At 32.1% G+C, this 27744-nt stretch overlaps 1 protein-coding gene across 7 annotated transcripts in view; it reads right to left on the reverse strand.

Annotated features, from left to right (window-relative positions):
- Nucleotides 1-27744, reverse strand: part of PCLO (piccolo presynaptic cytomatrix protein) — a 408873-nt gene that overhangs the window by 141123 nt on the left and 240006 nt on the right. For all 7 annotated transcript variants that reach the window (XM_017012006.3, XM_047420211.1, NM_033026.6 and 4 more), the window contains 3 exons: nucleotides 19552-21739; nucleotides 13743-13879; nucleotides 7517-7607 (listed from right to left, as the gene is read on the reverse strand). In XM_017012006.3, coding sequence (XP_016867495.1) covers nucleotides 7517-7607; nucleotides 13743-13879; nucleotides 19552-21739 — 2416 coding nt within the window. The remainder of the gene's footprint in view (nucleotides 1-7516; nucleotides 7608-13742; nucleotides 13880-19551; nucleotides 21740-27744) is intronic.

Genomic DNA, 27744 nt, shown 5'->3' on the forward strand with positions numbered 1-27744 from the left:
TTTTCCAACTACAATGAAACTAAACTAAAGATCAAGAGCAGAAAGAGACTGGAAAAATCCCCAAACATTAGGGAATGTAAAAACATGTTTCTAAATAAACAATAGGTAAGAGAAAAAATTACAAGGGAATTAAGAAATCTTTTGAAGTGAATAAAAATGAAAAAAAATGCATGGGATGCAGTAAAGTAGTCCTTAAAGGAAAATACATAGTTTTAAATGTCTATGTCACAAAACAAGAAAGCTCTCCAACTAATAAACTAACTTTTCACCTTAAGAATCTAGGAGAAAAAAGCTAACTAACTACAAAATAAATGAAAGAAAAGATATAGATGATATTTAGACCAGAAATCAATAAAATAGAAAACAAAAAATAATGGAGAAAAATCAATAAAAGCAAAAATTGGGTCTTTGAAAAGATTGGCAAAACTGACAAATCTTCAACTAGCTTTACTAAGAAAAAATTGAAGACACTATAATAAAAATTAGGAATAATAAAGGGCTTCACTGTGTGACCTAAGAGAAATGAAAAGGATAAAGTATGATGAATACATTTGTGACAATAGTTATAAAACATAGGTGAAATGAATACATTTTTAGAAAGACTCAAATTACCAAAACTGATTGAAGAAGAAAGAGAACATTTAAATAGTCTTATAACAAATAAAGGCATTGAATTAGTAACTGGATGTCTTACTGAAAAAGAAAGCTTAGGCCAGGTGATTTCATTGGTGGATTCTACCAAATATTCAAAAAATGAATAATACGAATTCTTCACAAACTCTATAGAAAAATACAGCCAGGAACACTTCCCAACACATTCTACATGGTCAGTATTATGAGATTACTCAAAGATATCACAAGAAAACAAATCTACAGAATAATATCCCTCATGAATATCCACAAACAATTACTTAACAAAGCAAAGTAAATCATGAAAAATTGCTGGCAAGAATGCAAAATGACAAACTCACCTTGACTATGTGGCAGTTTCTTAAATAGTTAGACGGAAACTTACCATACAACCAGAAATTTTATGTCTAGTAAACTAACCAATAAAAATTACATATTATACATGTATACTAAAACATGTATGCAAATATTATTTAAAATATGGGAGAAAATCTCACGGAAAAACAAAATGTTGACTTTTTAAACAATGGAACATATTTAGCAGTAAAAAGGAGCAAACCACTGGCACATGCTACAACTAACCTAAAAACTAGTAACCTAAAAAACTAGTAAATGAGAGAAACCAGACACCAAAACTGTATATTGAATGATCCAATTTATATGAAATGCTTGGAAAAGGCAAACTTACAGAGACAAGAAGTAAATCAGTAGTTAGTTTTTGGATGAGGGATGTTGGAAGCAGAGATTGCTAGCAGCCTCAAAGGAGTCTTTGCAAAGATGGAAATCTCTAAAACAAGATTGTGGTGATGATTGCACAAGTCCATAAATGTATTAAAGTCATTGATTTGTACACTAACAATAGATATTTATGATATGTAAGTTATATCCAAGAAAATTGTTAAAATAATAATAATAATAATATAAAGAGCTATCCACATAGCTCTACTACTGCCAACTAGGATCCAATGAGATCTGTTCTAATTTGTCTCTGTTTCTAAAAACTCATAAAGATGGTGACTAATGCAGAAAAGAAAATGAGCCACTATTTCCTAAGAAGACAATGCTATCTTTTCAAACTTAACAACATTTTTAGTGTTCTTCACTATTATAATTGCTAAGTCTTTCTAGCCTTGCAGATGTAGCCAGTCCATTATGGAACTGTACATAGCAAATGCCTTTTTCAAAAATCAGAAGAATTTCTTTGGCTTGTTTCAAACAGCTGTGTTTCTGAGGCCATAAGATGGAGTTTTAAATAAGAAAAAAAAGGAGACTCATTTTTTGAGCATCACATTTTGTTCTTTTTTTTCTGTTCATTTCTCTTTAAGAGGAAATAACATTTGTTGAGCATACAGTAAGTACAAGATTTTGTGTTAGGTTCACTTACAATTATGAGATACATGGAGTTCATTTTATTTACAGATGAACAAACTTATTCTCAAAATTTACATGTGTTAGAGCTGAATTTCAACACAGAGATTTATAATTCCAAAACGTATTACCTATTCTTTCCACTCTGTTGCCTTGTGTTTTGCTGAGTACCTTCAAAACCATTGTACAGTTGTTGATAAACACTTACATCTTTAAAGTTAACAGGTTAAAAGTTAAAGGATATATTTTTAAAAAATTATGAACCATTTAATAGAAGATTACAGGTCTGTGTTTCTCTTTGCATACATTACAAAATTATAAATTATGATGCACCTGTATAGCTGTGTGTGTATACACACACATACATAGGTATAGGTATGAACAATGAATTTATAAATTCCTTGACTGTTGCCTCAGTTGTTCCTAAAATTTTATAGTAATAATTACTTACATTTCAGGTCCTCCTACTAAATTGTTAGTACGTTAAGAATCTGGGTCTTTGTTGTGTTCACTCTATTAATCTAGCACCCAACAAAATTTAAGTCATACCATGGATGACAAATGAATGATCATCAATGAGTAAACATTTAAAAATGCATCCACTGTGAGTTACAGAAACAGTTTATTTTATGCTGTACACATTTTTTTAATAAGTAGAAAAAAGTATATTTCCTTTTCGAAAAAAACATTTCACTGCAGATATCGTTACAGCAGTGGCTTTCAAACTTTTGGTTTGGGGAAACATATCCACTTTAATATTACTGATTATCTCAAGGAGTTTTTCTTTATATGTGTTACAACTATGTATATTTTCCATGTTATAAATTAAAATTGGGAATTAAAAATATTTATTAATGCATTTAAAATAATCTTATTCCATGTTAAAATAAATAATACTTTATTAAAAATAACTATTTGATAAGCAAAATTCATGAGAAGGGGAATGCTGTTTTAAATTTTTGTAAATCGGCTTAATTTGGACTTAATAGAAGGCAGCTGAATTTTCACAGCTACTTCTGTATCAAATCTCTTGTGAAGTCACATATTAAATAACCTCTGAAAAACTCTATTGTATATTCATAAAAGGATCAGCATGAAAAAGGCAAATTCTGCCCTTGCATTACTATTAAAATAGTCTTGGCTTTGTGGACTCCCCTGAAGAATCTTTGAGATCATGAGGGTCCCATTGACATTACTTTGAGAACCACATAGGAGAATGGTAAAAAACAAACCAAACAAAACATTACTTCTGTCTTCTATTTTGAAATTATTTTTGTTTTCCTAAATAAATTTTTTCTTTTATTTGCCAGGTATGCTTGTTTTATATAACTTTTATAAACTATTTATAAAGTTAGAACTGTCTATTAAAATATTATAAAAGATTCATAGTAGTTTTACTATCAATAGGTTTATGTAACCAAAATTAAAATTCACTAATGGCCATTTTCCACCATAAAAGAACAGGTATACTACATTTTATTCTTCACTACTTCCTTGCTTAAATCTTTGTCTTGTCTCACAAAGGCAGCTAAATTATTAGTTTTGATTACTTTTTCCCTATTGATGAAGCTTTTGGATACTGCTGTTTTACTGTGAACATGAAAAAGAAACAGCAATTGTACAATTTTATTATGGAAAATTTATATATATGGAAATGTAATATAAGACTACAATAAAATCCAACGTGGTTAATCTCCAAGCTCCAACAATCAACAAATTATGTTCAATTTTATTTTATCTACATCTCCAACATTCTCTACACTTAGCTAATTTTGAAGCAAATTTCAGATATGATATCATTTGATCTGTAAATATTTTAGTGTGCATTTCCAAAAGATACACTCAGTGGTAATTATAGTTAATAACAATATATTGTATTATAGAACAATGCTAAGACAGTTGTTATAATAACTCTAGCTAATTAACATAAGCACTATCTCATGTAGTTATCACTTTGTTTCATGAAACATATATACTTGTATATATACTTCAAAACATCATAATGTATATGATAAACACATACCATTTTATCAATTTAAAAAATACATAAACTCAATTAAAACATTAACATATAAATGAAAGTAGAGCTAACAATAAATCCTTAATATTACCAAATATTTAGTCAATCAAAGTAGGATTTTTATTGAGCAGAAAATGACACAGAGACTAGCCAGGAGTGTAAATATTCTTTGCCAGGAAATATTCAGTGCCAGTTTCTCTGGCACTGGTTTAAAACTTCCAGACATTGTCAAAGACTGTAACTTCTGGTTCTAGCCTCATATGTAGATGTATTTACAAAAATTAAAAGTAGAAGTAGAATATAAAATGCAGATTGTTTTAAAAGACTTAATTTAGTATAGGATTATTTTTCCTAAGACATATGGAAAATATATTCAGTAGTAATCAATACAGGGTAACTATAACAAGGAAACCATTTTTAGTATTATTTTAGGTAGATACCACAAGAAAAAGGGGCATTCAGAGAAAAGATATAGTACATTACTAGCAAATTTATTGTCCAAAAAAATAACATTTTCTTTTTGTGAAATTTATATACAGAAGAAATTAAATTTACTTTTGAGACTAGAATATTTACTAAAGAGCTGGCATTTATTTTTGTAATTCCTATGTTTTAAAACTTGTTTCTAGTTAAAGTAAAATAATAACTAAAGAGTAGGAAAGATAAATAATAAGGTTGAAGGAATAATTCTTAATATAGCGTAAAATAATACAGCTAGAAAACAGGCACATTGGCATAGATTCTGATGATTTAGGAAAAAAATGATTTGAAGATTTCCATTATACATCATGAAAAAATAATTTTGGCATTGTTAGAAAATACTATGTTGTTTTGCTTTATGAGCTGGAGGAAACTGAAATTCTTTTTTTAGCAAGTAATTACTTCCACAACAAGAGCCCTTGGATTTTAACATTCACCCTGGAATTTTCATCAGTACTTAAAATACAGTTTGAACAGCAATAAAACTATGAAAGTTTCAATTATCAGTTTCTGACAGAAGAAAAGTTACCTACTCTTAAAAGGAAAACAACATTAGACTCCTAATCAATTCATTCTCTATGAAAATAAAGAAGAAATTTGCTCAAAGCAAAACCTGTTCCACGTCCACATGTTCCATTGTCTAAGATCTGCAAGGAACAATAGCAATTACACTAAAGAAATACCCCGTTTGTTGTATCAGTGCTTAAAAAAGAAAACACAGTACATATACCATGTTAGATGTATTGCCTATACATATATAACACATAAATTAAATATATATTTGAATATTTTCTATTGATGCACATTGTCCATGATATTCAAAGAACATACTTGACCAAAAATATAGGTAATTTTCATTTTTTGAAATTTCATTAACTTGGAAAAATTTATATTTTATCTCATTGATTTAAATATGGACTATTGATTGTAATATAAAAATTTCATACATCTTTCAAAAAGCTTCCAGGTCATGAAAGGCAAGGGATGATTGAGGACCTATCAGATTGGAGGAGATATAGGAGTCAAACAATTAAATGCAATGTGGGATCCTAAATTGGATCCTGGACCAGAAAAAAAATAAATGGTGGGTTTGTGGAAAAGCTCAACATTTGTATAAGGCTTATAGATATTTTAATATTATCATATATATGTTAATTTCCTGGGTTTGATCACTTTATTGGGATTAGAAGTTAACATTAGTAACGTTGGGCAAAGAGTGGGCAAAAGGAATGTCTGTATTATTTTTGGAAATCCAAAATTATTTCCAAATAAAAAGTCCACCATTAGCTTTGGCTTATAAAAGAACACAAACAAAAAAAACTCCAGCATAAATTCACAGTGTTCAAATTGAGTAGAAATAGGGGAATTTGTTCCTTAGAAGAATTCAAGACAGATTTTTAATTTCCTGTATAAGAATGTCTTATATTCCTACAACCAGTGACTGTATTTCTTAATACAGCAATAACTGCAGAGCATTGTAATACCATGTGCATTAAAACATATGATTAATGAAAAGAATGATGCAAGTATGTACCATTTAGTACCTCCTCATATTAATGATCATGTCATCAATGTCTTTTATGTTCAAATGTATATCCTACTTATTTTTTTACATTTCTCAAAACACGATTTTTGATATAAAAAGTGATGTTTTCCAAAATGTCATGAGTCATCTAAAATGAAATCCAAATGTCAGTACATATGTAAATCTGACATTAGAATAAAAACTGGCTAGCCATATGTAGAAAGCTGAAACTGGATCCCTTCCTTACACCTTATACAAAAATTAATTCAAGATGGATTAAAGACGTACATGTTAGACCTAAAACCATAATAATCCCAGCAGAAAACCTAGGCATTACTATTCAGGACATAGGCATGGGCAAGGACTTCATGTCTAAAACACCAAAAGCAATGGCAACAAAAGCCAAAATTGACAAATGGGATCTAATTAAACTAAAGAGCCTCTGCACAGCAAAAGAAACTACCATCAGAGTGAACAGGCAACCTACAAAATGGGAGAAAATTTTTGCAACCTACTCATCTGACAAAGGGCTAATATCCAGAATCTACAACGAACTCAAACAAATTTACAAGCAAAAAACAAACAACCCCATCAAAAAGTGGGCAAAGGATATGAACAGACACTTCTCAAAACAAGACATTTATGCAGACAAAAGACAGATGAAAAAACGCTCATCATCACTGGCCATCAGAGAAATGCAAATCAAAACAACAATGAGATACCATCTCACACCAGTTAGAATGGCAATCATTAAAAAGTCAGGAAACAACAGGTGCTGGAGAGGATGTGGAGAAACAGGAACACTTTTACACTGTTGGTGGGACTGTAAACTAGTTCAACCATTGTGGAAGTCAGTGTGGCGATTCCTCAGGGATCTAGAACTAGAAATATCATTTGACCCAGCCATCCCATTACTGGGTATATACCCAAAGGACTATAAATCATGCTGCTATAAAGACACATGCACACGTATGTTTATTGCGGGACTATTCACAATAGCAAAGACTTGGAACCAAGCCAAATGTCCAACAATGATAGACTGGATTAAGAAAATGTGGCACATATACACCATGGAATACTATGCAGCCATAAAAAATGATGAGTTCATGTCCTTTGTAGGGACATGGATGAAATTGGAAATCATCATTCTCAGTAAACTATCGCAAGGACAAAAAACCAAACACCGCATGTTCTCACTCACAGATGGGAATTGAACAATGAGAACACATGGACACAGGGCGGGGAACATCACACACTGGGGCCTGTTGTGGGGTGAGGGAAGGGGGGAGGGATAGCATTAGGAGATATACCTAATGCTAAATGACGAGTTAATGGGTGCAGCACACCAGCATGGCACATGTATACATATGTAACTAACATGCACATTGTGCACATGTACCCTAAAACTGAAAGTATAATAATAAAAAAATGCAAAACAAAACAAAACAAAACAAAAAAACAAAAAAAATATTAGATTATATGATTTGCTTTACCTGAAACTGTGTGATCCTTTGAGTCTCTTGTTATTTTTATCCTTGCGTGAGGAAAGATGTAGTGCATAGTTTTCCCGTTCATCTGTATAATCTAAGACATACATGTAGTAAGGTAAAAAACCAGCATTAAAGACACTTAAAGTGCAATATACATAATTAGAATGGTTCATTTCAAAGCACATTGATTAAATCAATGGAACGTAGTAGGAGATTCTCACATGATGGCAATTTAAACATCTTACACTAACACTATATAATGATATTACTGGTTCTGAGTTCTTATGGTGTTTGCATTTATAACCAATTGCTCTTGCAAAATGACTTGTTGTATTTGAAAAATTAATAAGTGCATGCAATAGGTTCTGAAGAATGTTTGTTACTACAGTAGTATGCAGTCAATATTGGTGACCTCGGATATAGAATGTATTTGGAAAATTGCCAGCTGTTGATTTTGCTCTGGACAGTCTGGGAAAAGCATTTTTAATTTTCAGCAATTAAGTTGTGCCGGGGGAGAAAAAATAGAGAAGATCCCCCTACTTTGACATCTCTGTCATCATAATTAGGATTACTTTATGTTTGTGTTTCTTGATTTATTGTGGCATTGTACTTCTGCTGAGCACAGGTACTAGAAGTTTCATTGTAAACTAGACGCAGAGACTAATTCTATATAAATAAATAAAGATTTTGTTCACTTTAATACTTTTTAAAATTCAAAGCTTGCATTATTGATAGTGTTATGTCTCCTAGACATTCCTTAGGGTAGAAGAAGTAACACTTAAAGCTACTGTTGCAAATCTGTGATTTCAATTCTCATTATTGAGACTTGAATATGAGAATATTATAGACAGCATTATCTGTGTTTCCACCTGGTGAAACATCGTTTCTGAAACAAAAGTAAATTAGCGAATGCAAACTTGTGCTTTATATTTCATGGAACTTTGCTTTCAAAAGAGATTTGTGAAATAATGAAAGACAGAAATAGTAAGATATTTACTCTTACCTATATTAACAGGATTTTATTTGTATGGAATTTTGTATGTATTGTCATAGGAAAATTTTTGACTTAAATTACAACCAAAATAAAGTTTAATATAGATAAAAATTTCATATTACCTATTTTAGAATATGTTTAAGAAGTGTGTTCCCAAAAGATAAAACAGAATTTAGAACTAAAGAGGTATACATTTTGTGAAGAAAGATTCCTTAGAAAACTCTTGTGAACTTAATGTGTCCTAGTATTTCCAGCTGTAAAATTGTTAGAATTCTGGATATTAAAAACAAAACAGGTATTTAAAAAACTGAAGCTAAAATTACAGCCTTTAGCTTTTATCCTCTTTAGGAAAGAATAAGCTTAAGCAGGCCTTAGATTAACATAAAATACTCCCTAAACAACAGCAGAATCCTGTTAAGTCCAGGAATATTATGTGAATTCTGCAGAGTAAAACAAAAATACTGTTTACTAAATTATAAAAATATTAGGGTAAGTATAATAAGTCAATTCAGATAATTCATACTAATGCTAACTTTGTAAACCATTGAAAACCTTATTCATATTTGTAACAAGTGCTTACATTTTTCTTCTTTTTCCCTCTCTTCCCTGCTGTTCACTCTTCTCTCTCCTGTCTCTATCTCTTTTGTCTGTCTCTCAGTCAGCCTCTCACTCTTTCCTTTCTCTCTGTTACTTTTTGCCCTCCCCACATCTTTTTCTCCCACTTTTTTCCTTCTTCTTCCCCTCTTTTCTTTTCCTAATATGCATTTAAAAATCTTTATTTTTTACTAAAAATAAAATCATATGCATTGAAAATTTTGTAACTGTTAGGTGTAACTGAACTTTGCTTTGGTACTGCAGGTAATTCAGTAAAATTGGTGGATGTTACTTTGTTTTATTTCAATCTCTTCTAATCTCAGGTATTAGTTAATAATAATTCCAAAAAGTTATTCTTTCCATTTGGTCACAAATAAACTAAGAAAACACAATTTTGCCTTTTAGTATTCTTTCCAATTTTCAGGCTGGGGAGACGTTGATGTAATCTCACAGTGCATCTATCACACAGTTTAGAAGAGTCATCATCAGGCTTCCTAATTTTTTCACCAGTTTTATCAAATAGCCACTATTACCTTTTATTTTATAGTAGAAGGAATGTTGAACATATTAATTTTCTTGAATATTGCTTTAGGACATCTCATACAATCTCCTATAGTTTCAGAGACTGTCTACCCTGTCTGCAAGCAGCTTCATAAATCCACTTAATAAATCAGAAACACAAAGCTGCCATAATTATGATCAATATGACCAAAAGTCTATCTGTCTTCCATGTATGAATTAGATGTACGAGCTAGATGAATCTCAGCTTTTTAGTAACCACAGAGGGTGAATGTTGAGAGAGTCCTGTAGCAGATGGGGTTACGGGTAGGTGTTGCTAACGCCAAATAAGAGTAGGCACAAAGCCAAGGGGCAGAACTGATGTCAAGTGGTGCTACATTCCTCTCCCCAAGGGGATGGTCTCTGTTATCATTGTCTTTTGGTGATTCCTCATTGATAGAATTATTGCCTATAGGCCTCCCAGAAAGAGGGCTGTTCTTTCCTACCTACAAATATTTCAAAGAGTTATTTTCATGAATCAAGCCTGTATATATAAACAGTTTGTTAACAAAAAGGGAAGGAATTGAGCCCTTTACTTCACACACGGAAGACAGATAGCCTTCATGTCCTTTTTGTTAACATACTGTGTATTCATACAGACATCCCTTCCCTCACTTAAATACTACACATTCTAGATGCAGGAGACAGAGTGCCTTGCTGAGTTCCTAGCACCGTATGCATATATAACATGGTAGTTGGAATACAGAGCTGCTGCTCTCAAGAAGCTCACAGCCCAAGACATAATACATGGGGCACCACTGGAGCACAAAGGAAAAACACTTACCCCAGATTTCTGGGGAAGTGGGGGTGGTAGTGTCAGGGGAGTCTTCTTGCATCATGGGGCAGTTACATGGACACCTGGGTGATGATTAGGGTTTGCCAAGGGATGAGTGGAGGAAAAGTGTCCAAGGAGCGAAAACAGAACATTCAAATTCCTAGAATCAAGAGAAAGAGTGGCTCTTTCATGGGAGCTTAATGTACCTCAATGCAGCAGTTGGGTAGGAATTGCAGATGATGTGAGCGTTAAGTGCAGAAAGTGAAGGGATTTTATAATAGTCAAGAAGTGCTGACCTTTACAACCACCCTGTGAAAGGTATTAGCATTATTTATAGAGTAAGTGACTAAAGTAAAATTAAAAAATAAGAGATTAGGTTATCTGTGCAATTCACAAAGCAGTGCTGAATTTCTACCGAAGAAGGCAGAGGTTAAGCATATAGATAGATAGATAGATAGATAGATAGATAGATAGATAGATAGATAGGTACACACACACACATACACACACATATAAGTATACACATATATTTGAAATGAAACAAATATGGACTTTAAGATTCGGTTTATTTTTATAATTAATATGATTGTGTGTCTAATAAAAAATTTTCAGAAATATTCTTCTATGCCTCTAATGTTTGTCTTATGTAAACTAGTTTTAAAAGCAGATAAATTAGTGTTTGCATTAGTATTATTGGTTTTATTACTTTTGCCTCCAAAGCATTTTATGAATATGATTTCTTGTTATGCATATGTTTTCAAATAAAAGCATCTGAGTTTATTAGTACCAAGAGCTCAATATTAGCTTTTTATGATTAGAGATGCAAAGAAGTTAATAACATGAGAATGCCATTTTGTAATTCTCCAAGCCAAAATATAGTTATGATGAGTTAAAGAGGGAGACAGTATTTGAAGATAAATATTAATGCAAAAAGCATGAATTTTGAATTTTATATAATTCAACTTTTGAACTTCATGTAAATAAATGTATGTTATAGTAGAATCTATTTAGAAAAAATGATAAAGAAAAACAAATTATTGTCACAAAAGTCAGCACATTTGTTACTTATTTGGGCAAGGGAGTGGTTATGATCTGGAAGGGACATACAAGGGTTTCAGGGACAGGCAATGTTCCTTTTTTTGGCCTGTGTGGCGGTTTCATGGCTGTTCACTTTTAATCAGCTTATAACTTTGCATAGTTGCAGTTTCAATATTACATATATAGTTTTTTTGTTTGTATGTTAGATGTGAAAATGTAAAATATTATACAAATGTAAAAAATTACTTTTAGCAAGAATATACACATTATTATATTCACCTAACAAGTATGTCTACGTGAGCAGACATAGCAAGAAATTTATTAAATGATTCTCAAAAATATGTTCTCTGCTTAATTTTGACATTATATTGGTCTATAATTATATATTATTTAAACCATTATTACTATGTACCCAGTAGACCAAAACCATAAATCTGTATATGTTAGTAACATTAAATTAGAAACAAGAATGTCCTTAAAGATATGAATATTTCATTTACATATTTTTGGGCTGGACGCATTACTTTAAATATATCCTCAAAGAATATTAGTTTGATAAATTAGGTGGAAAAGACTATTCTCAGTGCCCGTGGAAACAGTAGTGTTGATAATAAATATTCCTGCTTGTTAATTACTAAACAAGCTGCCCTGTTTATTATATAGTTTATCTTACTATGATTTTGTTAAAGTATCTGTGTTTTCTTTGACTGGATCTAGGTTTGTGGGAAACACTAAACTTCAGAGAAACAAATGAGATGGGGAAGACATAACAAGTATTCCATTTTAGAGAGATTCATATAATAAACACATTTAAAGAAGTTATTTTTAACTGACATTTATTATCTTAGTAATTGTAGATAAAAGGAGCTAAATTTAAGATTTTAAATGTGCAGAATAATTTTATTAATTTTCTTACTTTCTAGCCAGATCTATTTGATGAGAGTTGAAACACAACCACAAATACAATTTCAATAGCAAGACAAGCTAATAAAAGCATAATTCAATACAGGCTGATATGTTTACATGAAGTAGAATAATGGAATTATATTGACATTTTAATGGAGGGAAATATATGCCTAAACAAAATATGTATTGAAGATATGAAAAACTAAAGATAGAAATTTATAGTAGAGAGGAATTAAAAAGATTCTAGAAAATATGATAGCATATAGAAAAACAGAACAAAATTCTAAGAAAAAATTCTGTTTAATAGGTAGAAATTTGTCCATGAAAACTTAAATTGCTTAGAAATAAATCAAATCTAAGAGTATAGTCAATGTATTTTAGACAGTACTTATAAATGTCAAAGGCTTGTTTTCTTTTATACCTCAATATGACAAACACTGAATTATAGTAAGTCTATATGGATCTTCTCAGTTGTTTAAAATATGGTTGTTTTCTATTTCAATTAATCACTAAACAGGATGATTAGGGGTTTATGTAAATAAAATAAGTCAACTATTTTGGATATTTCAATAATCATAATGAGTACACAACCTGCAAATATCTGATCTGCTAAGGCAATTGATTAAAGGCCACTTGGCTTACCTGAAGACTCTCCTTCAATTCACTCAACTCTTAGTCTCGTAGTTGTATTTCAAAATTCAATTCAAACATCACCTCATTTCTCAAAAGTGAGTGAGATCATGAATTTTGGTATCATATTTATTTAATTCTGAAATTTACCTCTAAGTTTCAATTTCTTCCTCTATAAGAATACACTGATTAGCAATATCTACTTTATGTGAGTTGTTCCACATATAAAATTCAAAAATACATAACAAAACAACTAACATTTCCATATAATAGATCCACTAAAATATCAGCTTCCTTTCTCCTCCAGGTTAAGCGTTCTTTCTATCCCAGCTCACTCGGTTTGGCCATGCTCTCACTTGCTCTTAGCATCTGAACATGTTGTTATTGGAAAGCACTGAAAATTACCCAAATCTATTTCACCCAATTGCTTGTAAGCTCTCAGAGCTCCATCTATTCTTCTTGTATAGCTGTGCTGGATATGTTATACAAACTTAATAATGATCTGTTGGAGGAATGAATCACTTAAATTGGTAGAAGTATCACAGCTATGCTCCATTTTCAGTCAGTCATAGCTGATGAAGTGAGCTGTGTTACTCCTTTATGTTATTGGAAAAAATCATTTGTGAAATTAATAAACAAACATCTCATTCCTTTTAGGACAATTAAGACCATTCTAGGGTAGACTTGAGTCTTTTTTGATAAATCTAAAAGAAATTGCTAAATATAGCACTTACTTGCTCTTGATGTTGACTGAGTGGTCTAGAGTGGACCAATCTTTCCGGCAGTTTTCGGTCCAGACCATGTCCATTTTCCAAACGAGACTCCCTGGGTTTATCAAACCAATCTGTTTCCTCACGACGCAGATGATAGGCTTTGGACACCAAGGAAACATCATACATTGCAACGGCAAGTAATACAGATGATTGAGGGAAGCAGATGTTCTGTAGTACTAGCATGCACTAGGCTTGTTAACCATACATGCATTTCAAACACATCTCCCCTTGGGACTAGAAAAATTATTTTTGTTATTATGCCAAAAATCAAATTATGTCAAAAATTTTAAACCATAGAATAGCCTAGAAAAAATGATGCACACAGATGTTCACAATCTCAGAGCAAAACAAAATCAAATTTTAAATCAGGAGAAAAAAGAAATTTAGATAGTGATAAAATAAATAAATGATCAAGTGGTCATTCTTCAAAAGGATCATTCTATTTAACCTCAGCCCATCAGTTCCCACATCCACACATTCTCTCCCATACTCTCCCCACAACCCACTAGAAATTTTTTTTTAAGGTAGGCCGATGGGTGCAGCAAACCACTATGGCACATGTATACCTATGCAACAAACCTGCACATTCTGCACATGTATCCCAGAACTTAAAGTATAATACAAAAATTAAAACAAAAAGTATTCCTTGTGTATGGAAGTTTCTGTCACTTTCCCACCATTACATCAACCCAGTGCCAATAAGTTGTTGCTGGCTTTAACATTATTTTTTGAAAATACGACATTTCTATGACATTCACAATGAACAAAAACATTTGTTTCTAAGAGAATTCTTGTGTTATTGTTAGGAACATGTGTGCCATGATTACGTAGTAGCCTAATATTAAAAATACCTCTATTGTAATTGTTAAATAAAAATAAAATGATTATTTTTTTAAGAGAAGCACTGATTTAGAAAATAGATTGAAGACTTGGTTGCCTGCTTTTTATACTCACACTGTGACAAAATTTCACAGATTACTTTTTTGAAAATGCAACTATATTTAAGGTACACAATTATTATTTTAAATTAAATTTCATTCATTAGTATCTCATAGGTCTTTTCAAGATATTCTATAATGACTGAACATCTTATTTTCCCTAATATATAGAATTTTCCTTTTAATAAATTGTTTTAGTCTTTGTAAAAGAATCTCTAATTAACAGTCTCTGGAAATACTTTGTTGCTTCCTGCTTCCTAAACACTAGAAGGAACAAGGCTCCTCAAGTGCTTATCCTTTAAAGATTTGTTGATGATGTTGTCAACCTCCACTTTCTTGAAACTCCAGCTTCTAGAATGCCATACAATAGCTTTATTTTTCTATCTACATTCCTGACTATCATCTCTTCCAAAACCTCCTCCCAACCTTTTCCCCTAGGCCATTTCCATCATTTCATTGCTGCCGGGGATGGCAAACCCACAGCATATGTACCACTACTCAACTCTATACCTCCTGTGGTCAACACTGCTACTTAACCATGGCATTTTCCTCCCAGAATACAAAATGAGCAACGATGTGTCATGGGTTAAGCAGTCTTAGATTTGAGAAAATACATTAACACATATCTGTTTTGTAATTGCATATGTACTTGACTGATCTCACCTATTCTAAGCTGCTTAAAGGCAAAGCTTATATTGTCTTTTTTTTCCCCTTCCCTCAATACTAAAATCAATGCCCTGCACAAGGCATAGCATCCAATAAATATTGGCATGAATGAAGCATAGAATAATTAGTCATCAACTAGAAAAAGTAAACATCCTAGTTATGATAAACACATTTAAAATATTAATTTGTCCTTTGAACCTCACTGATGCAGATATTTTTCACAATCTGCTCAATAATTATGGTTTTCCAGTCTTAATTTGAAACCAAGTGACTGAACTTACCAAGAAATTTAGTGTAATAGACATTTGACAAGGAAATACAAAACAAATTCATTATTTAATCATTAGTCTCTTAAAATCTATTAGATTATTCCCAGTGACACTGACACTACTTTTGTCTTACTTCTTACCGGATTTTATTATAGATTTCTCATGAAAATAGAACAATAATTTATACTGATTTTAATAAATTAATATCCTTTATGATGTAGTACAAGATTTCATTTGAATATATAACTTTCTTAATTGCATTTTAAATATAATTCTTTGAAATGTGTGTTTTGTTTGGCTGTGCCTATAGAAATAAAGTAGAAGTTCAACCTGACCCAAATTCTGTCAATTTATTACCAATAATTCTGATTATGTATTTTGATTTTGTTATTTTTTATAATAACCCTATGTGTAACTGAATAAAGATGACTATCATCCTTTGCACAGGAATTTACAATCAACCAAGAGCAAGCAGATTAAATGAATCTGCTTTTGTATTGAATTTTGTTTTCATTATTTAGAACCAGTTGTACATAAATGCTAATTGTTTATAACTGTCTCATCTTTCATGGTAAAATCTCAGTGAAAAAGTAAATTTTATAACAAAAAAAATTCTGAATTAGTTCAAATCGTTTGAAGGAGACTAACAGTATTTTTTTTTTAAACTTGACAATATTTTCTTGAATTCCTAAAAGTAAAATACAAATAAGTTATTTCTGGATCTAGTACTGTCCGCAGGCTACAGTTACATAAACAGTTTAATTCTTCTCAGTATCAAATATCGGTGAAATATATATACTTTTAAAAAGACAGTATATACTGGAGGACATGAGATGAAGCACATTTTTTTTTTGAGACGAAGTCTCACTCTGTCGCCAGGCAGGAGTGCAGTGGCGTGATCTCAACTCACTGCAACCTCCACCTTCCAGGTTCAAACAATTCTCCTGCCTCAGGCTCCCAAGTAGCTGGGACTACAGACGTGTGCCACTACGCCCAGCTAATTTTTGTATTTTTAGTAGAGATGGGGTTTCACCATGTTGGCTAGGATGGTCTCGATCTCTTGACATCGTGATCCACCCGCCTCAGCCTCCCAAAGTGCTGGAATTACAGGCGTGAGCCACCACGTCTGGCCTGTTTCTAGCGTGCTTCAAGCTAAAAATATTAATAAATATTAAGCAACATAAACTATATCTATATAGACTTTTCCTCAAGAAAGATATTTCAACATCAACAAATCTTTTAGAATATATCTAATGACTGTCTTATATCCTATCACTTATACAGTTTAATTGAATTTGGAAAAGCACACAACAAATAATTTGAAAGCAATTAAATTTGTTTTGTTCACAGGATACTAAATAACCTGTAGAATGTTATACTACTCAAAATTATCTTAGTATATTCAAATATAGATATAGCATATATTTGCTAAAAATCTGTTAAAAATTTCTAATACTTAATGAGTTAATAAATGTAGGAATTATTGATTGGAAAAAAGTAGTTTCTTCTATTTTTTTAAATACTGAAGGAATTCAAGATTTCAAACGAAAAGTACACCATTACTCATTAGAAGAAAAATAGTATGCTTATGTGATACATAAACAAAGAAAATATATAACATTTTACTACATACATCATTTAGAAGTAATCACTACAATTCACACACATACCATTACATATGTAATTCATATATAATTGCTATAGTTTTCCTGCCCCAATTTATATCAACATAATCTTTATGAATAATTTCCTTGTCTGCTTAATTTTAAAATATATTTTAGTTTAATTTCATTTAAATTTTAATTGCTTTACTTCTTTGGTATCATCTTTACACACTTCATAATTTTATATGCTGCATGGTATCTCATCCTCTATTTTATCAAAACAATGTTTTTCACACAGTCTTTGATGATTATGACCTATACATCATTCAAACATATAAAAGGGAAATAGAATATTCTGTTATTTTTATATGGCTCTACATATATGTAAGTGCCACGTATTGGGATATATAGAAACATCTAAATATCTGGCAGCATGTTGACAAAATATCTATGATGATAAATCAAACTCTCTTTAGATATATGCTCATGATGTACACACAATCTTAAGGCATTTCGTTATGCCATTGACCCTCTAGGGTTTTTGTTTTATTTTGTTATTTTATAGACATGACTATTGGATAAACTCTTTACTCTTCTGCAATTGTCATTTTCTATCTATAAAATGTTTATAAAATGTGGATTGTAAAAAGTAAGGAAATATTAAAGACTGTTCCCACATGATATCACAATTCTTGCAATGTACATTTATTCAAATAATCATCTAAATAAAAAACCCACAAATTGAGTATTTTATTCAATTAACTAATTGTCAATAAAAATGGTCAATCCAATAGCCTGTAGAGACGAAAACAAATCAGAAAATGACTAATCTATTGGAATTTCACAAACAAAAGCAGTTTGTCCTCCTTCAGATACAGTGATTATTTTAGTTCAATAAAAAAACTATTAAAATCCAGATTTGAATTCCTAAAATCTTATTCATCTAGACAAAGATGTAGGAAAAAAATCCTTTTCACAAAAATGTGTATTTTCCTGTGAGTCCTCAAGAAAGATGTTATGTTTGAAAAGGGAGATGTTCATGTTAGCTTAGTTCTTTGGAGTCTCTAAAGGAAGGAAATAATAATGCTTTTATTTGATCAAAAATATTTTATTTCCAGAACTCCATCTACATCTACATTCAAATGTAAACCAAAGGAGGTGAAAAAAAAAGGACCAAGAGTCAAGAGTCATGAATCCTCTTGGTATGGGCTAGGCTCTTCACACCTTTGTATCATTCCTCCCTCATCTTCAATATTAGACTTGGACTAGATAATTTTCAAAAATGTTTATGGTTGTATATCTTTAAACACAAAGCTACTTTAAATCAGTTTTTAGTTAAGTATTTACTTGTACTACTTGTTTATGGTTGTATATCTTTAAACACAAAGCTACTTTAAATCAGTTTTTAGTTAAGTATTTACTTGTTCAACATGGAAAACTAGCAAGTCAATTTAGGGCAAATACATGGGATGATACAAAAAACAAAATCAAGAAACCAAAGGAAAAGGCTAAATGGGCAAATCAGGAAGGTTTGAACTCTAAATAACTAAAATCAGAAAAGAAGTTTACAAGGTTTCAATTTTAAAGAATACTTCATACTAGTACAATTCTTTATTTTCATGTCTTATTTAGTACTAAACTTTCTAGCATATAATGCAAAATTACAAATTTGTAAATAATAGTATTCATAATGAGAGAGAAAGATAAAACAGAAATCTTTTATTTAAGGAAAATAACAAAATTCTACATTATACTAACATCAAGAACTTATCCAAAAGTTCTCAAAAATAGAAAATCTTCTGAACTAATGAACACTGATCTCATAAACATGCCATAAATGATTTTCTATTACAAAGTCTATCAGAATAGTATTTCATGGCTCTAAACTTTAATAATTTCAGAAACTGAAACTGACCAATAACTTTTAAAATATATTTTTAAAAATGAAAGAAACTTACAATGAAAAACTTTTCAACTATGGATTTATAGGATGACCATATTTTATTGACAGAATTATTTGATAATGGTTTTAGAAAAGCAGACACCAAACAAATCAAGCAAACAATCAAGAAACAGAACAATAAAGGAATAAAGTAAAACTAAATAAAGAAAAGCATGCTACAGAATCTATACACATGATAAAATTTCCATTTACAAGAAATAAAATTGAAGTAAACATGCAAAAGACACACCAAGAAAAGTAGGATACATCTCTGGAGAAGGGAAATTAAACATGCAGAAAAATAAGAGTTTGAGTTTTGAGAGTAACAGGGTAGTTTGAGGCCCAATTTACCTTCACTGTCTGACATGGCATGTTGGAAGTCATCCATGATGAATGCTATGTCACGGTCATAGCCTCGAGTCCGTGATTCTTCCCTCATGTGTTGCTGAACTTCAGGCAATGAGTGGCTTGATCCAAACTGATCCCTGGTGTCTGCAGATATTGGTGGCAGGGGTCCAGCTGCAGCCCTGGCCATTCCCATTGGCTGGCCAACAGGACTGAGTGGGCTTTCTTCTTCAGAATTCTGGGCCACAATTGGTATTCTTCCTCTACTTTGACTAATTGGCAAACTGGTCGGCTTAGTTCTGGCAGAGGATGATGCATGACTAAAGGAAACATCTAGAGCTTCAGCCTCTTGAGCTTTCAGTCTTAGGGAAGAGCTAGAAGAATCCCTTTTAATTGATAAATCAAGCCCATAGACAGAGGAAGGTCTGGAGGAAGGTCTGGACCTGCTGCCACTACTGTATGGCTTATCCGCTTCATCCTGCAGAGCTGAGCGTATGGTATTTCCTAATGTGCCCAGTCCTGTGCCAAGAGAAGATCCCATAAATTTTTGTTGGTCTGTAATATTTTTTCTGAGGCCAAAAGTGATGTCATCTTGAAGGAGCCTTGCCCTGGAGGAAATGCCACCAATAGATGAAGTGCTAGAAGTCATATAGCTTGAATAATCAGGTTCAAGGTCTCTACTTTCTTGAATAGGTGAAAATTTTGACATTTTAGGGTCAATTAGTGATTTCTTATGCTTTGACTGCTTTTGATAAAGTATGGCTGCTGGCAGTTGTTTTGCTGCTTGTTTTTCAAGTGTGAGTCTACTGATGCTATACTTCTCAGATTTTGGAAAATGTCTGTAGCTAGTATCAGCATGGTAATAATGAGAAAGACCAGCAAGGTGATCTAAGCTCTCTGTCCCTCTACGAAATTCCTGTTTAATCTGATGTTTCAGAAGCTTTAACTCGTAAGGATCCTCCATTGGGTCTTCCTCCGCCTTCACATAACTATGCAATCTAGAGGAAGACTGTAAAGGTGCTAGGAAATCTGTCACTTCTTGAGACCGGCGTGTCTCAGTGGTTCGAAGGAGACGGTCTGTTTTTGACAGATCCTTTTCATGAAGGCTAAATGCGGTGCTTAATGCCGCTGTTCCTTTGGTGATCTCTCCAATGTCGTCAATTAGGACATAATTTCGTGGAGTATGGTGATCAATATCTGCATAGAAAGAATCTGCAGATATGCTTGATATTGGACTGCTTGCCATGCTACTTCTTTCCTCCAAACCTATTCTCAAGTCTAAACTATTGTACTTACTACCAAGATGGGAAACAGCAAATGTGTTATCCGTAGAAACAGGTGCTATCATAAGGGGTTGGTTGCGAATCACTTCATAGTTTGAGGTTATCTTGGGCTCCAAATATAATGTAGTTTGCCGTGGCTTCTGTTGTATCACCATCATCTGTGAAGGTAACTGATAAGAAGGCTGTGGGGTTGGTGTAGGTTGAACTTGAGGTGTGAAGGACATTGTTGCCACAGCTTGGAATGTTGGCTGAGTCTGATAAGGTGAAACTTGCTGATGGTACAAAGTTTGTTGCTCAAAATGAGACTGTTGAGTGTATGAGGTGGGTGCTTGGGTAGGAAGAGCAGGGGAAGAGTACTGGTATTGTGTGTAAGGACTTGTCGGAGGAACTAGTTGAGATTCTGTTTGGGTTTGTGGTGGTATAAACTGGCTGAATTCAGTTTGGGGAGCAGTTCTTGGTCGCTCAATGCCATGCTGACTTTCTATTCGGGTTGGTCTTGTGCTACTCACTTCACTGTCAGACATGTAATCACGATCCTCAGCTACTCCCTGGAGGTAGGCTCGTTCTCTCTTTTCTCTCTCCTTTAATAGGGCCTCTTTCCTCCTGTTAATTCCCATTTCCAGGTATCGTAGCTTAGCATCAATCTCCTTTTCTTCTTCATCAAGCTCTGCTTGTTTCTTTCGAAGTTTTGCAGACTCCCTTTCCACAAGATCAAGCTCTCTGTCTATGTCCTGGAGAATCTTGGCTCGTGCCATTGTGTTGGTTCTGCAGATCCTTCTCCTGGAAACTGTGCCCATTGTGCTGAATGTGGATTGAGTTCCTGTGGAAATCTCCTCAGGAGGTGGATTTGGCAGAGTTCTTTTAACTTTTTTCTGGGCTCCAGAGGATGTCATGGTTTGAGAACCTTTAGTCTATAATCAAGTAAACAAAATATAGTACTTTAGTATAAAGAAAAATAAAAACCAAATCTACTTCCATGAATTATATTTAATAAAAATGATTTCATGTATGATTTTGCTATCGCAGCATGATAAAATAAAATATATGCATATAATTTCAAGTATTGGTCACAAATACAATTAACTGAAAAATAATTTTTTAAATAAATTGGCTAATTATAACTCCTACATTAGCAGTTATAAAAACTTATTTTCAAGCTAAATTAATATACATAAGATTATTTACTGAATCTATTTCCAGAGTGTTTTATTAACCATCTAAAATTTAAATTACATTTGTTGGAGATGTTCATTCACCAAGTTAATGCGCCTATCTTCTCATTCCGACTTTTGCCCCCTGGAGTGGCTGTCATTCCCATTTTTTAAATTACATCTTCAAATTATCTAATGTCTTTTTTTTCTAAAAAAGGAATAATCTGGACTAATTTTCTATTTAATATTTCAAGATTTTCATGACTATTTGGTTTTCTTTGACTTTATTATCCTGCAGTATAGTTTCTTTTTAATGCTCTAGTAACTTCCATATGAAGCAAAAAGAACTGACCAATAAAACTCCATTGGAACCTTTTAAAAAATCAGATAAAAGTATAAAGTTGGTGAGTTTTCAGATATTTTTCATTTCATTTGGTTAATTTGTCATAAACTTGCTTTCTAAGAATTGAAGGTCTTGAGAATCATACAATTTTAGGATATCAAAAGACATGAGAGATTACTTTGAGCACTTACAGTTAAAATAAACTGATGTACTTCAATTTACCTAAGTATTCAGTGGCACATTTACAACTAGATCTCAGGTCTTCTGCTTTCCAGTTGCATAATCTTTACAAGATGCTTCCTTTTCTTTTCTTTCTATTATAATCCAAATACATTAATTCTCCAATTTTCCCCAGTCACCAAATATTGAGAGTAGAAAATAGAAAAAATAAGAGTCTATAAATATTGTACCTGAAAATTGTGCCTTATTAATTAGATCACATTTTTCCAAGACTCTGTACTTTCATTGCCTTTTTATTATTTCCAAATTAATTTCCTTAATAATTTTTATTTGTTTTCTGTTATCATATTTCTGCTCCCTTCATGTAACCCTACTAGTTGTTCCCTTAATAGACATCATAATATGAAACAAAATCCTAAAGGTTTATTGAAGTTTATATGTTTCTAAGACTTAAAATATTTGGATGGAAATGAATAAATGTTATGAATCTTTGAAATAAGGTAAAGTGACTTTGTAGCGGTAGTTTGTTTTTCCTCATAGAGCAATCCCAATGTATATGGAGTATTGAAGTCCCCAAGGCAGCTGTTTGACATGTCATTTATTTCTTCCTACTCATTCTCAATTCTTTTCATTTTATAAAATACTCACAATTAATCACAGAATTGTTATAAAAATCAAGTGAGACAAATATGTAAAATACTTACTACACAACACATTACAGGCACCCATTAAATATCAATTCCTTTAAAAATCTCTATATTTCTATAGAAAACTATGGTTTCTTGATTAACCCACATTCTAGATCTTTACATATTCTTTCACTTGTAAAAAAGTACACATGTAACATGTTGAATATCAATGGGCCATAATTAAATGGTAGTAAAATAAAAATTAAGATCCTACAATAATTTTCTTGATACTAAAAATATTAACATAGATATGTCATGTTTTTTGAAAAGTTGTTCCACAAAAACATCTTCAGTCCTCTGATTATAACGTTGTTCAACAGGAGGCTGAAAACTACATACTATTTGTTTTTTCTTAACATGTATGTGGTAGATCTGGCATATGCATAAGCATTTGAAAATTTAAAATGTTTACCTATTCTACATGATTATGATTATGAAATGGTTTGACAAAAGGGTGTTTAATTGTGTTACTCACGACCGTGATGCCTAACAAAGATGTAATAAAAAGAGGAGAATATGAAATGAAAAATATGACCAATATTTTATTCTAATGTTTGGTCACTACCGGAAATTTTAAATATAACCACTGATAACATTTTCATAGTCCAAAGAACTTAATAATGGTTGAAAATTCAAGTCTCTAAGATGCCCAGCTTAGAAGCTATATTTGAACTTGGAAGTCACTTCTTTTCAAAATGCACATTACAAATAGTTATATATTGTACATATGTGTAAGGTAGGCTTGCACTTCTTGTGTTTAGGTGAGAAAAAAGAGAGCAAATACTGACCAATCACTATACTTGTCATATGCTCTTATGTATTGATGGGTGCCGCAAACCACCATGGCACGTGTATACCTAAGTAACAAACCTGCACATTCTGCACATGTATCCCAGAACTTAAAGTATAATTTTTAAAAAAGAGAAAAAATATAGATCATGTCAGGAAAGTTCTAGTGGGAATGAAAATGGAGGAGTACTTGACTATTGAAGAGGCTATAACCCAAAAGCCTGCAGGAGCCAGAAGGTAATGGAGTGAATGTGTTGACCTGAGAATTTAAGTTCCATCTGTCAAGGCTGGCTCCAGAATATTGCTGCCATGAAGAAATAGAGACCCAGTGTGGTGAGATCTGTTTCATTCAAGAAAATCCATATTTTAAAATTTTGGTCTCTATTTTAAATGGTTTTAAAACATAGTTCAGCTCAAAGAAACCAAGCCTTTAACTGCATTGACAGGTTGAAATAAATCTCTGTTCCAAACCTAAAGAAGATTGGATGCCCACTGAGAAACCATTAGAGGGTCAAACAGCATTAACGGCTAGTTGAGAGAAAGCAACAGATTTTAAACAATGAAGGAGGATGTGGGAAGAATACAAGAGCCCTAAAGAAAAACTTCAGTCCTTTATTAGCGTTTTCTGCCATCTTTTGGTTAAATTGTAAATATGATCATCCATGAATTTTCCTCCACAGCATAAATTTTCTTTTAGATTTTCCCTAAAATACATAACTATTCAATTCACTTAGACAGATATTTATTAAATGTCTCCTCTCTTCAAAGCACTTTGCTAGGCACACTTATACAAAGAGGATCTGAACTATAGAACCATTAGAACCCCACAGATTTAAATTTAAGCATGTGTGTGAGGGGTGTGTACTATGTTTTAGGACTGGTTAGTATCACTTAAGAGGACAGACAGAAATACAATAAAGAATTTGAAGTAATGTCTTACCAACTTATAATTCAAAAAGAACTGACTCTGACAAAGACAATAAAAACTTCTCAACTAAGTATTTAATTCTAATTTAAAAAAACCTCTCAACTAGTTATTTAATTCTAATTAAATCAATATAACATAAAATAAGAGTTCAGAACTCCAAATACAGAGATAAAAGCAATACAATATAATTTATTTTAAAAAGATCAAAATTGCATAAAGAAAGTTTATTATGATTAAAGATGATGTAGCTGGAAGCCATGACTAAAGATGGCAAGACAGTCTAGAAAAAAACTTGTTGTTTACTATGGTTTTCTGTGTTGACCAGCTCTTAAAAGTTGTTTTCAGATAGACCTGGTGCCTTTAATCTAGAAAAAAAAATTGTACTAAATATACTGGATATATAAATTTAAAGTATTTTAAAATACCTGTGAAAATAGACAAAGAGAAGGGAATAAAAAGCCCTAATAATAGAATAAAGGTTTAAGAAAGACTGGAAAAAAATCACTAACTGCAAATTGCAACATCAATGAGGTAATCAAGCTAACAAACAAATAACCTTCAGGATAAGGTTTGCTGTCCAAAGTAATTTTAAAGAACATTTTCCTTAGGAAAGTTAATTTATATAATGCAATTTATACCATTTCTATATGGCAAAGGAAATTTTGCTTGTTTTGGAGTGTTAGGAATATTAATGAAAATAATAAGTAAAGCACATAGCCACACTATCCTAAGTGACTTAAATATATGTATGTGCATTAATTCATTGTCAGAATTCTCTGAGCTCAACATGAGGATGAGAAAAGAAAGATCTGTAGTTTTTTCAAATATTGAAAAACTAAAAATACACAGGGGCTATTGTTTAAAGTCCTAGATGCTAGACCAAAATTATTCATCCAGTATTATATATAATAAATATGAAAACATTCAATTTATTGATGTATTCAAAGAGTTGTTAAGTATAATTCTAAAATGCATGGCTCTAGATGCTAAAGACATAGATACAAGAGACACTAGATGGAAGAAATCTACACTTTGCCCACAAATAACTAATAAATTATGAATATTTTTGGGAAATTATTGTTTGAAGAAACTACCTCACCATACTGCCCAAAGCAATGTATAGATTCAATGGTATTTCTATCAAACTACCAACAACATTTTTCACAGAATTATAAAAAAACTATTCTAAAATTCATATGGAACCAAAAAATAGCTCAAACAGCTAAAGCAATCCTAAGCAAAAACAAACAAACAAACAAACAAACAAAAACAAAGCTAGGGGCATTATACTATCCAACTTTATACTACAAGGTTATAGTAAACAAAACAGCATGAAATGGGTACAAAAACAGACACATACAACAATGGAACAGAATATAGAACCCAGAAATAAAGTTGCACACCTACAGCCATCTGATCTTCAACAAAGTTGACAATAACTGGCAAAGGAGAAGTGACTCCTTATTCAACAAATGGTGCTAGGAAAACTGGTTAGCCACATGCCAAAGATTGAAACTGGACCCTTTCCTTATACCATATACAGAAATCAATTCAAGATGGAGTGAAAACTTAAATATAAAACCTAAAACTATAAAAACCCTAGAAGAAAACGTAGGAAATGCAATTCTGAACATAAGACTTGGCAAAGATTTCATGATGAAGACTCTGAAAGCAATTGCAGTTAAGAACAAAAGTGGACAAGTGGGACCTAACTAAAGAGCTTCTGCACAGCAAAAAAACTATCAACAGAGTGACAGAAAATCTATAAAACTGGAGAAAATACCTGCACATTATACATCTGACACAGGTCTATTATCCAGAACCTATAAGGCACTTAACAAAAAAAAACACACAATCTTATTAAAAAAATGGTCAAAGGGCATAAGTAGACATTTCTCAAAAGACATTCACATAGCTAACAAGCATATGAAAAAATGCTCAACATCAGTAATCATTAGGGGAATGCAAATCAAAACCACAATGAGATACCATCCTACACCAGTCAGAATGGCTATTATTAAAAAGTAAACAAAACAAAACAAAACAGATGTTGACTAGGTTGTGGAGTAAAAGGAATGCTTAAACACTCCTGGTGGAAGTGTAAATTAGTTCAGCCACTGTGGAAAGCAGTTTGGAGGTTTCTCAAAGAACTTAAAAAAAACCCTACCATTTGACCCAGCAAAGGAATTGCTGGGTGTATACTCAAAGGAATATATATCGATCTACCATAAAGACTCATGCATGTGTATATTCATCACAGCACTATTCACGACAGCAAAGACATAGAACCAAGCCAGATGTCCATCAATGGTAGACTAGATAAAGAAAATGTGGTACATATATACCATGAAATACTATGCAGCCATAAAAATGAATGAAATCATGTCCTTTGTGACAACATGAATGGAGCTGAAGGCCATTATCCTAAGTGAATTAATACAGGAACAGAAAACCAAATACCACATGTTGTCACCTATAAGTGGGATCTAAACATTGAGTACACATGGATACAAAGAAGGGAACAATAGACACTGGGGTCTGAGGGTGGAGAGTGGGAGAAGAGTGGTGATCGAAAAACTAGCTATCAGGTACTATGCTCGTTACCTGGGTGAAGAAATAATCTGTAGTCCAAACCCTGTGACATGCAATTTACCTATGTAACAAACCTGCACATGTACCCTCTGAACCTAAAATAGAAGTTGGAAAGAAAAAAAACGAACTACCTCATCTTTTGCTAAATAGTTCTCAGTGTCAATATCAAAGATATACTTCTAAACCATTCTGAAACCATCATACTGCTAGAGAGACATAGCAACATATATTTCATTTTATAAGT

The sequence above is a fragment of the Homo sapiens genome, chromosome 7 (genome assembly GCF_000001405.40).
Source record: "Homo sapiens chromosome 7, GRCh38.p14 Primary Assembly".
Classification (NCBI taxonomy): domain Eukaryota; kingdom Metazoa; phylum Chordata; class Mammalia; order Primates; family Hominidae; genus Homo; species Homo sapiens.